We start from the raw sequence: 12,412 nt of genomic DNA on the forward strand, positions 1-12,412 counted from the left end.
CCAAGAAAACACTGCCATAAATATGGGTCTGAGTAAATACTCTCTATTAGTTTCACAATGAAATCCCAGGACTGTTTTACTGAAATAAAGGGGAAACAATAGTCATTACGTTTTCTTAACATATCCTCACACTGACATAAAACAAAAAGGCTTTATATGACATTTGAAGTCCGTTCGTTTGAAATGAACTTTTGGATTATTTTTTCCTAAATGTTAACCCCACCACGACCTTCAAAAAGGCAAAATTAAGTTACTCCACTAGACATTTAAATCTTTCCATCTACCCTCACCATTCCTCACAGGCAAACTCATTCAATGAATCATGCACTATTAGACCTCTTGAGATGACCTAGGTACAACCTTCTAATCATAGAAGAAAGTAAAACCCAAGAGAGATCTGATGCCTTGATCAGGCCTCAGCTATTACAAACAGACTCAAGAAGCTAAGGTTGTTGATGCTTGATTACAAATAATTCCCCTGTATGACAGTAACCCTTCCCCCTTTCAACAATAATAGTCTATGCCTAGTAATAACAATATATCAATACTTACACCTTCAATCTGACAAATTTAAGGCTTATAAAAATTTGCTACATTGGTAAGAAAACTAAGTCATTCTATTTAAGCAGTTGAATTTAATTTTTAGAAAAATGTATTAAATAGCTATAATGTACAAGGCATGGTAACAATGAAATAATGAATTGCCAAAAAGCACAGAATTACAAGGTAAAGAAAAGTCAACAGAATATTTTCATTTTAGTTTAACCAGATATGCAAGCTTACATGAACATATATAAACACGGAAAAGAATATTGCTAAAAGGCTTCATGATAATCCACAACATACATCTGACATATTTAACCCAAGAAATAAATACCATGAGAGGGGAATAAGTAAATCAAATGAAGATTTTAATTTGTAGAATTAAATTATGTAATTGTAGAATTAAATTAGAATTTTAATTGTAGAATTAAATTATATATTAACTATATTCATGGAAGGATCTTGAGCTCTCCCTGCTTGTCTCATTTCCAGTCCATGTTGAATATGACTATACTAATTTTCCAGAAAGAAAGCTCTGACGGATGGCTAACCCAATAACCATTCTCAGTTCTTTTCTGTTTGTTGGAAAAGCCTAACATTCACTGTCCTAGCCTCCTTTGCAGCTGGGAATGGCTATGTAGCTCAGTTTGGACAATAAGACAGAAGTGGAAGTATTCCAGGCCACGTCTGGGAAATCTTTCAATCTTTATAAAAGGCATAGTCAAAAAAGTGGCAATGCCCACCCCATTTCTTTGTTTATAATGCAGATGTAATGCCGAGGTTGCAGCCGTCATCTTTCTACTAGAAGACAACAAGCAAGAGGACCCAAAGCCAATTTGCCAAGGATGGCAAAATAGAAAGATGAAAAGGACTTGGGTCCGTGACAGCTTCATTAATCTGCTGCAACAACTGAGACCTCTTTTCTTCTAGATTTGTTGAAAAAAATAATTTCCTACTTGTTTAAATGACTGTTAGCCAGCTTTTCCATTCTATACAGCTAAAAGCATTCCTAAGAAATATATATTTAATAGTCTCCTTCCATAGACTCAACTCTAAACTCTCCAGCCTGACCATTCAACATAACTGGATCTAGCCTATCTCTTTTTTTGAGATAGGGTCTCACTCTGTTGCCCAGGCTGGAGTACAGTTGCATGATCTTAGCTCAGAGCAACCTCTGCCTCTGGGGCTCAAGCAATCCTTCTGCCTCAGTCTCTCGAGTAGCTAGGACTACAGGCGTGCACTACCACTCCTGGCTAATTTTTGTATTTTTTGTAGAGACAGCGTTTTGCCACATTGCCTAGGTTGGCCAGTCTATCTTTCTTTCCAGCATGTGTCGGTGGTTTCCTGTTCACACCTAACAATTTTCCACCTCTGGATCTTCCTAGCATAGCCACCCCATCCTACAAAGCATATACGACAAAATCTCTCTCTTTTTCCTTCCTGGATCCTCGTCCCAGGTCTGTTGTCTAGGCACACTTCCCCTTCTCTAAATTCTTCATATTTTATTTGTACTATTTAAAAGCACTTGTCACGTTGTATCCTGTATTATAATAACTTATGGATCTGATATCTCCTAAGCTAGGTGTGAGTCTTATCTCTGTATTTTGCACTGCAAAAGTGCCTTCTTGGAACATAGAAAGTACTCAAAATATAGATGGAGCAAATTAATAATTAAGTGTGTAAGTGATCTTTATCTTTCTAAATTTGAATTTAAACATAACAGGAAATTTTAGAAGATCCTATAATGTGTATTTCTTTACTATTTACTGTAGCTTTAGATTCACAAAGATGACAAAATTAGTCCTTAGACAAGGGACAATTTTGTACCTGATGCATGGTAAACTGTTCCTAGGGGACCTAAATGGAGAGCATATACTACTAGCACATACCTCCACCAAACAATGGTGGAAGGAGAGATCTGTCTGGAAGTCAATGAAGAACTGCCACCGTGGGGTGGACAAAGGAATTGGAGCTTTAATAGTATATATATCTTGTGAGGCTGTTGAATGGATTGAACGCAAACACATGTAAAATGCCTAGGACAGTATCTGACACCTAATCCTTACATAACAAACATTATTTATTATTCACACAGAAATGGATACAAGAGGTGGGATGTAAGTGTCCAAGTCAAGGTGGGGTATGGGACAGTGAGAACTCACTCACCAGGAATTTCCTCTTTAGGAAACTGGTGCTCCCTGCCCTTGATTTCACCAAGCCTCTGGTTAAAGCACCCTGTTTCTGTTATAACTGTAGGCTTCAGGCATGTGCCCATTGAGGCCAGACTCTATAGGGCTTGGCAGAAAATGTCAGGGTGTGTTATCATCTCTCATGGCCATTGGTTATGTTCTTCATGAAAGAGATCAGCTTTACCCCCAGACAGCCTAGGTAAAAGGAAAGAGGAAAGAAGACAGCTTTCCCTAGAGGTTTTTTCTGCCTATGGTCAGCAACCCAAGAGGGCCAAGAGCCAGAAAATCATGCCCCTTGCAGGGTTAGCAAAGTCGAATTTAGTGGCAAGCAAAGCAGGGAGATTAAAAGTATAATGTGAGATAAAACTGGGACACAGGGAAATCCTAAAAACCACACCTCTCCCAATCACCTCCTGCTGTGCACATCCCAAAGATGAAAGCTATCCCTACTGCAAAGAAAAATATTACATCCACCAGAATGTAATCGGGGACAAGCAACCTTTAAATTCCTCTCACTCTAGCAGAGTAGTGCATTCCCCCTGAGTTGCTGATGTGAAGGTTGTGAAAAATTTTACATGCTTACCATATAATTAATATATAGATGAGACAACTTAGGCAGAGAATGATTAAGTGAATTGCTCAAGGACTCACAGCCAATCAACTGTGAAGCCAAGACTCAGAGTTAGACAGTTCGGCTTTAGAGATGATCCCCTTAAACACTTTGCTATCTTGCCTCTCAATTTAGAAGGCAGAGAAAGTATAGTTTAATCTCCTTGGTTGTATAAAAAAGAAAAATAAAGTTCCCAAAGTGGACTACATAAACAGCAGAAGATCTGGTACATAGAACCCAAGGGGTTGTAGGGTCAGGGGAGGACATTTATGGTGGAAGAGAAGAAATGTCTCTCAAAAGCCAATAAAACACTCCAAAATTATATACCCTTAGCTTAAAATAAGAAGTTTAAGAGTGAAAATAATGTGCTAATAATTGGAAATACTATGTAAAATATATAAGCAATTCATTTTTACTAAATGTCAAGTATAAGGTATTTATCCAATGACAATACAACACAAAAATTGGGGTGTTTTTTTTTTCACATTAGTAAACAGGTTTGATAAGACATATTAAGTTGACCTTTATCTTAAAATATAAAAATTAATTACATGTTTTATGGTGTTTGCAACCTTTGTAGAAGCAAAGTGCGCTTTAATTTTCAAGTTTCTCTTCCTGAAAAGGTTAGGTGAAAATATCATAGCATTCATCGAAAAAAGAAAAAAAATGAGTAAGATATTATATATTAGAATAGACAATGTAAACAAAAAAAGCCAATAAAAAATTATTTAGGTTATCTTGCATGTCTAGATAGGCTCTCAACTCATAATAAAAACTTTAAGTGAAATCCTACTTATAAAAAATAAAGGCCTTAAAGATAGCAGAGTGAATTCATGCAGTTATGAGAGATATTTAAGCCTGGAATTAAACTGAAACCTAAATTGGCTTTCCTCTACATCCCACTTGGTTTTAGAAGTTAAGAAAAAATGCTCCAAACAGAAAATCATGATGTTCTTTTGTACATTTAGGCTACAAAGCTTCTTAAGTATTGTTCTAAGAGACTACATCAAATTTTCCCAAACAGGCCTAAAGCCTCTCTCAGGGAAAACAAAAATCATTAGAAAATTATTACAATTGTGTATGAGCAGTGTTGATGCAACTTTTCTGACATTATACATTTACATTCATACAAATGGAACCAAAGTTTCATGAAACAATACTTATTCTTAGTATAGGCAATGTTCTCTAATACTTCTTCTATTTTCTTAAAAAAAAAATTCTGATGGCAACTTATACTGATTACTTGACCCATTAGTGGTTCTATAGTGGACCACAATTTAGAATCACTGGTTTATACTTTAGTCTCATCAAGACATAAGTATAAGCTATTTTCTCCAGAAAACAATTTATACTCATAATTACAACCATGAAATGCTTATTAGTTTCTGTGAGAAATCTACCCCAAAACATTGCTTGCTATTTCAGTGTTGCCTTAAGAGAAAGAAAGAAGGAAGCGTGAAACCAGCCTGTCTCTGCTGAGGTAACAAAATCAGGAGTGGATGTTGCCACTGCTCATTAGTTTTGCCACAGGAGGGGTAATAAAAGGGGTGAGACAGATACCAACCCACTTTGAAGCAGTCCCCTGGTTGTGTTCATAAAGTTTGGTGGGAGTTGCAGGCAAATCCCTCTGTGTTCTCCCCAGAGAAAAATGGGAGTTCATAACTACTCAGAAAGACAGGAAACAAATTCCCCTGTAGAGGGCTGAGGCCAGGTGGGCAAAAGCTGATTGTGGCTGGCACTATCCTGTCCAAATACAGGCCCTGGCAGGCTGTCCTTCCCACTTCCCCTGCACTGTGTCCTCACACTTCCATCTCATGGCTTATTGCTGGAAGAAAGCTGCAAAGCAAGCTAACAGTCTTTTAAGACACAAGAACTGGTTTAATCTTTTATTTTTTTCCAAGTAAAAGAAACATCCGCCTACCCTACTCCTTTCCCCAAACAAAATCTTCGATAAATCTCAATGTATAAGACAGAGCTGTTGCTGCGCTGGAGAGGAGTGCTGTGGAGAGCCCTGCCCACTCCTCCTCCCTCCTTATCTGTAAGTCCCTCAGGCCCCCCCAGGGAACTCTAGTCCTCTAGAAATGCAGGAATACAGTAATAGTTGAGCATATTTAATGATCCTTGCCAAAGGCAATCAAACCACTGCCATATTTGTTCTCTAATCTTTGCTTGCTCACCAGCTCTCTAAATCCCACCCTAATACAGAACTCCCTAAAACTTCAGCAAGTGACGCTTCACCAAGAACCTACATAAAGCAACATTTCTGAAACTGTCACTCTACATTTCGCTCTTTTTCTTCTATTAAACTGATAGACTATCAGAAATAGAACATCAGCCAAACCAGCTGGGTCCTTACTCCTCATTGCCTGCAGTACCTCTTGTTACTACAATGTACCAATAAATCCAGCCAACCAAACTCTTCTGATAGCCACTCCAACAGAAAGTATGATTCTAAGAAGACGACTGGACTATTACAAGATTTACGTTACTACAGAAGTATGAAAACATGTTTCAATATAGCTGAAGCTGAATTATTTCTTCTTTTCTTTTAGCAAGAAATTTTGGAATTGCTTAGACTCACCAACTCTAGCATCGCCTAGGGGAGAAGGGGCTGCTTTCCCAGCCTATTTTATTGGTCTTGATAGGATAAGGCACAGCCAAGGAATAAGACACGTGAAGATGTAGTGCTGCTGTTACTACACTCACCCTGTAATGTGATGCTTCCTGTGATAAAGATTAAACAAACCATCTTTTTCTTTGAAGAGACTGTCCTGTATGTTTATAAACATGTGGGCTTTCTGAGAAACTGAAACCTTTAAAAAGGCTGAAATTAAATAATTTATCATGCTGAATGGGGGAAAAAAAACCTGTTTCTAGTAAAAGAGAACTGAAGGGAACTAAAAGGGTACAGAAGTAGAGATTAATTCCTTACAAAAGTTATTTTGATGTAGCACACAATGATAATGATAGGCAGAAAAGTTCAGATTTTGATAGATCTATTAATATCCTATCACTGGGTCTTACACTAAAAAATGTAACTTTAAAGCTTCTTCCTGTAAGGAAATTTCTACTCCCCCAATAACATTATTTCAATTATTTAAAAAACTCAACTCTAGCTGTTGACCATTTTTTTGCATAATTAATACTTTGACATAACTTTCAAAATGATGTCTGGTAATGAAGAAAAAATAGTACCTTTTCCAATTCTCTTGGTATTCGCAAACAAGTGTATACTCTTTCTCTTCTTTCTGTATACTTGGCCTCATTATGTTCAAGGAAGTACCCTCTTGTTAGTTCAGCACTGAGGAACCTCAACAATGAAAGCTCTACAGAAAAGAAAATGACAGAAAACAAAAAGAACAGTATTTATCAAGGAACTTCCACGCTAGCTGGGGCCACAGGTAATATACATATAAAACAAAGAGACCAAAATAAATGTTATCTATAATTCTATGCCTAGAACTGCACACAATGATCAGCAAGTATTTTTGAGAAAAGTATTCTTCTTTGTGGTATAACCTGAAAATGCCACAGGAATATGGAAAGGAATAATTATTAAGGGCTAGAATAGTCAGAAAAGTATTTTTCAAGAGCTCAGTCTTGGTTCTTACAGGTGATACAGTACCTGGACTGACAGACATGGAAGGAAAATCAGTAGGTGTCAAGAATATATAAAATAGAGCAATATATAGAGTCAAAAGGGAGCAAAGTCACACAACGGGCACCACTTTAGTCCAAGAACCATCCTGGATGAACTACATGGATACTGGTGCCCCAGCTCCCTTCTTAGTTTAGCCTCAGAGATCCTGCACAAACATCTAAATAATGCCATTTCCCTACATGAAGACTTACCAACATGATACTCACAATAGTTATTACGCGAAGTGCAACCTCAACCGGATCAGAAAAACCTCCCTTTCCTTGGATCTTTCCATTCACCCGTGTTTTTCCTCTGTTCCTCTAAAGCAAATTACTCCATAGTTATCTCATCTCAGGTGAGAAAAACAAGGTCAAAGGAAGTTATTTATATACTTTCCACTCACTACAACTGGAAGCTTGAGGTGAGAAGCGAAGGCTCTGGATGCTCGACCCCACCTCTTCCCAGTGCATTACACTTCCCTGATAGCCCATCCCCTCAATGACCCTCAGCACCCCTTACTTCATCTACAGCTTCCTACTTTTACTCTGCAGGAGGTAAACTCTCTTCCAGAACGCAGGTTACCAAAAGGTTTCCAACTGTCCACTGTTCTCTTTGCTCTGAGCTGGCCTTGTGGTCCTTTCTACCAAATGTGGTCTTAATGTTCCCTCCAAAAAATGACAAGGGAGGAAGGTTGATTTCATTTATGCAGATCTACTTAAGGAGTTGCACCTTCTAGGAGTACTATGATCTAAAGCCTACATGTGAGGGGGGAAGCGTTTATAGTAAAAAATATCCTTGGCCAGGCACGGTGGCTCACGCCTGTAATCCCAACACTTTGGGAGGCCGAGGTGGGCAGATCACGAGGTCAGGAGTTCAAGACCAGCCTGGCCAACATAGTGAAACCTATCTACTAAAAGTACAAAAAAAAATTAGCCGGGCGTGCCGGTGGGCGCCTGTAGTCCCAGCTGCTTGGGAGGCTGAGGCAAGAGAATCGCTTGAACCCAGGAGGCAGAGGTTGCAGTAAGCCGAGATCACGCCACTGCACTCCAGCGTAGGTGACACAGCAGGACTGTGTCTCAAAACAACAACAACAAAATATATATATATATCTCCTTAAAAGCCCTTGGAAAGACTTAGAAGCCAACTTGACTATGGTTTTAAACAATAGGTCTACAACAGCTTACTTCCTCCAGCATTAAAACGGATTCCTGGTTCTTTGAGTATTATGTCAAGTGGCTTGCTTATGTTAGGGTTTATTCCATATATATGTGTATGTACACACATACACATACACACTTCTTTAAATACCAGATTCATAATCTGTCTGGGGAGTCAGTGTTACCATGAGAGATACCTGGAGTTGAAACAGAAGAAGAAAGCAGACTTCTTTCCACCTTTGCCAGCCTCACGCAACAGGAGGCGGAATCTATCTACATGTGTCGTACTTTCTCTTTTCAATACATTTACAGTTGAAGTCACATGGGTTAAGTGCACGCAATATGTAAACTCTATTGTATAAATTAACAGATGTTTGGATTTAAAGGACTTAGTCTAACCAAATCCACATAGAGTAGAACTTCTGGTTAGGAACTTTCTAATATGTTCTACGCTGGCTAGAACCAGAACAAGATCTGCTCTTTCAAGGTGAGAAAAAGAAAACCTTTTGAGTTGCAAACAAAAACAGCCAAGACTAATGAAAGATAAACAAATCATACTCAGTTCAGTCAGTTTTCCAATCAGGAAAAAAAGTATGTTTTGATTAGTTAGTATCTACAAGTATCAGTTCTTTCATGTAAAAATCGAGAAGCAACAGGACTTTCAGAAAGCAGAGGAGATTCCACATATATAATTTTTCACTGACCTTAGTGAACTCTGAATTTTGAACCCCAGAGGCCACTTCACCACACTCTCCGGACAGCAGCTTCCCTGTCCCTCCATGTCACCTAAACCTGATTCAGTGGTGCTCTTCTGTCTTGAATGGCTGATTTTTCTCATCTGAGTCTCTTTGGTAGCCCTTCCTCCTGTACCCGATCCTTAAGTGTTTGCTGGTTCAGTGCTCTATTCACTACAGTAACATGTCAGCCATCCTTTAATGATGGTATTCTCCAATATGTCCTCATCATTCTTTCTTGTATTTATTCCCTATACCTACTCTGTTTCCTACACATGCTTTGTTTCCTATAGATTCCTAACTAAAATTAAAACCATCATCAAAATCCTAAAATCACATCTTCAGCTCTGGCTATTGAGTCATATTTCCAACAGCCTCCTCTACCTGGACATCCCATAGACACGGAAATTACCTAAAAAACGAAACCAGTATCTTGCCCACTGATTCAGCACCTCTCCTGGAGTCCTGACTTCAGTTCCTGGCATTACCAGTGACATACTTGCTGCCCTAGAAGCCCAGGGCCAATCTTGACAATCCCCTCTCTCTTCTTACCAAGGTCTACCAATTCTTCCTTTAAAACATTAACTTTTTTCCCCTTTTTCCTATACTCCACCCTGGTTTAGTCCTCTCCATCTCTCTCCAGGTTATTGCAAAAGCTTCTTGATTGAGTACCATTCTTCCCATCTTTCCTCCCTTCAATGCTAACTCCACCTGGCAGCCAGTCAGCAGCTCACACAGATCAGATATGGTTCTGCTGAAACCCTTCAGTGGTTCTTCATTACCTCCAGAATAAAGTCCTACCTTCTCAGTGCGGGCCATCCCAGAACCTCTACAACTGGACACAGGCCATCTCTTTAGTCATGCTTCACACCTGCCTCCCCTGAATCTCTAGGTCACAATTTTCTTTTTATACTACTTTTCATTTCTCCCAAACACGTCAATGGGTTCACACTGCTCCTTGGTCTGAGAATCCCCTACCAATTTTCCAGGAGTGAACATGCCCAGACGGTACCCTCTCTGTGAAGACTTCCCTAAGTTTCTCAGGCAGAGTCTGTCCTTTCCCCTACTCGGCTTCCACAGTACCTGCACCTGCCTATGATTTTCTGCAGTATACTACATTCATTTTCTTGTCTGGTTTTCTCATTCACCTTTGCATCACTGGGACCCAGCACATAACAGGTACTCAACAAATCTTTGCTAAAACAATATACAGGTCAGAGGAGAAGAAGAAAAATCATAGAGAACAAAAACAGAATCAGACAGTGAGAAGCTAAAAATGAAATGGAAAGGGAAGTGACTAAGAAAAGAAAGAATTAGACATAAAACGGAGTGGCCAAATTAGTCTCTTTAGGAGTCAGGCAGCAAAGAACAGAACCGACAAAGAATTGAGGAAGTGATGTGAACAGCAAACTGAGCTAAACTTTCATGTGGGTGATTTGTCCCTTCTGATATGATAATTTCTGGTATTTTCTCATTTTTCTTTACCGCTGAATTTCTCTATTGAAAGATGATCTATATGAAAACAAAACTGGAATTAATCAAAATGTTCAATAGTAATGGAATTGCTTAATAAATAACAACGTACCAATATAAAACAAAAATCAGACATGACAAAAGAAGAGCATTCCAGATACTTGAGAAAAGAACTTGTGATTGTGACAGAATTGTTCTGAGACTTGGGGAGTTAGCAGGGAAGGAGTGAAAAGCTTCACTCAAGGTAGCAGCTGCTGCTGATTCAGGAGCCTCTACTCTGTATGTGTAGCTAAGTGACTGTAAAGGTAACCCAACGGGTACCTGAACCTCAAACCCCCTGAGGGAACAGGGTACCATGATGCAGTCACAGCCAGTGAGTGCCCTGGGTTTGGGAATAAGGAGATCCTCATTGTCCACACTAAGTGCAAGGAAAGAAATTACGCAGCCCACAAGAATGCCATCTGGGTTAAAGAGATACAGAAACACATTACTGCACAATCATTTTCAATTTTAAAAAGCAAATTAAATAAAAAGGTTTATTTGGGGCCGGGCATAGTGGCTCACGCCCGTAATCCCATCAATTTTGGGAGGCCAAGGTGGGAGGATCACCTGAGGTCAGGAGTTTGAGACCAGCCTGTCCAAAATGGCGAAACCCCGTCTCTACTAAAAATACAAAAAATTAGCCAGGTGTGGTGGCAGGTGCCTGTAATCCCAGCTACTTGGGAGGCTGAGGCAGGAGAATCACTTGAAACCCAGAGGCAGAGGCTGCAGTGAGCCGAGATCGTGTACTGTACTCCAGCCTGGGTGACAAGAGTGAAACTCCATCTCAAGAAAAAGAGGTTTATTTGGAAAATTATTCTCCACAATGGTGTCTTCTCTGGTGACTGGAGATGACAGCTTTGACCATAATGAGAGTTGTGTTATGATCCACAGAAGAGCATGGGATTAGCAACCAGAGGAAGGCTGTCCTGGTACCAGCTGTCTTAAACATTAGTCCTGTGACCCTGCTCCAGTCACAGATGTCAATTTCACCGAAAAGAAAATGGAAGCTTAGAGCAGTTTTTTAATACCTGTCAGCTGTTTGCCTTATCCACAGAATCATCAAAGGACTAAGACAGTATTTGTATGAAAGTATATAAAAACTGCAAAGCATGACGCAGTGTCTTCAACTACTTCATATTAACTTCACAAGTACTGTAGTATTAATCAGTTCTGGTTTGGTGGTTATCTAATGTTTATTTCTGCAATCCTAGCTCTATCATTAAAAGGTAATATGACAAATAAGTATATTTAACAACATATATCATCTAAGTAATTTTCTGTAAACATGTTATCATACAACATAAATACTGAGTGTTTTAATTACAAGTACAAAACAATACAATGTCTGGATTCTACCTCTAGATATCCAAGAATTTTAATTATAAACACTAGTTTAGATTCTACAATGGAGAATATAAAAAGTCAAATAAAAACATAACCTATTTTGAGTGTACAGCTCTCACAACTATGAAACAGGTTCTACTGTTATGCCCATTTTGCAGATGAAGAAACCAAGGCCCAGAGAGGCTAAGGAGATCTCCAAGGTCACACAGGAAGCAAGCAGAAAAGCCAGAATTCAAAGTCAAGCAGTCTATGGCTAGAGAGTGTGCTTTTCACCATTAGATAGCTTTGCCTATTATTGCCTCAAGTGCCTTTGTAAACAGGCCACTGTGTTACTTCTGGAAAATTAGGAGCCCTCTGTCCCTCCCCTTTACCTGTGCTCCCACTGCAGCTTGGGCTGACTTCTGTGAAGCTACACTCTTTACTAGTTGCTCCCTTACAAGACCATGAACTTTCTAAGAGCAGGCCCCATGTATCCCTATATTCTCGAAGTCCAGCCCTGCCGGTGAGTTCTGAATGTAAGGGTAAACTTTGCGTACAATTAGCGCGATGCTAATAGGCTGGGGAATGGTTTTAAATGATACACTAAAGAAATACTAACCACAACAACAAAGTTTCATAAGGTAAATATCTTGAAAGCTTTGTCTTACCTCCTTCTCACCTACTCCTGCGTAAGTGGCTTT

General features: G+C 39.2%; 1 protein-coding gene across 7 annotated transcripts in view; it reads right to left on the reverse strand.

Moving 5' to 3' along the window:
• The window catches only part of TAPT1 (transmembrane anterior posterior transformation 1), a 66,886-nt gene that overhangs the window by 46,726 nt on the left and 7,748 nt on the right, over positions 1–12,412 (reverse strand). For 5 of the 7 annotated variants that reach the window (XM_047449754.1, XM_011513812.4, NM_153365.3 and 2 more), the window contains exon 2: positions 6,538–6,668. The exons of 1 other annotated variant lie outside the window; for it this stretch is intronic. Coding sequence is in view for 5 of the 6 variants with exons in the window: in XM_011513812.4 (XP_011512114.1) it covers positions 6,538–6,668 (131 nt within the window). In the remaining variant the exon portion in view is untranslated. Of the gene's footprint in view, positions 1–6,537; positions 6,669–7,209; positions 7,847–12,412 lie in introns of those variants that run through there. One more of the 7 variants, XM_047449755.1, reaches the window with a different exon arrangement.

Source organism: Homo sapiens, chromosome 4, assembly GCF_000001405.40.
Source record: "Homo sapiens chromosome 4, GRCh38.p14 Primary Assembly".
Taxonomy (NCBI): Eukaryota; Metazoa; Chordata; class Mammalia; order Primates; family Hominidae; genus Homo; species Homo sapiens.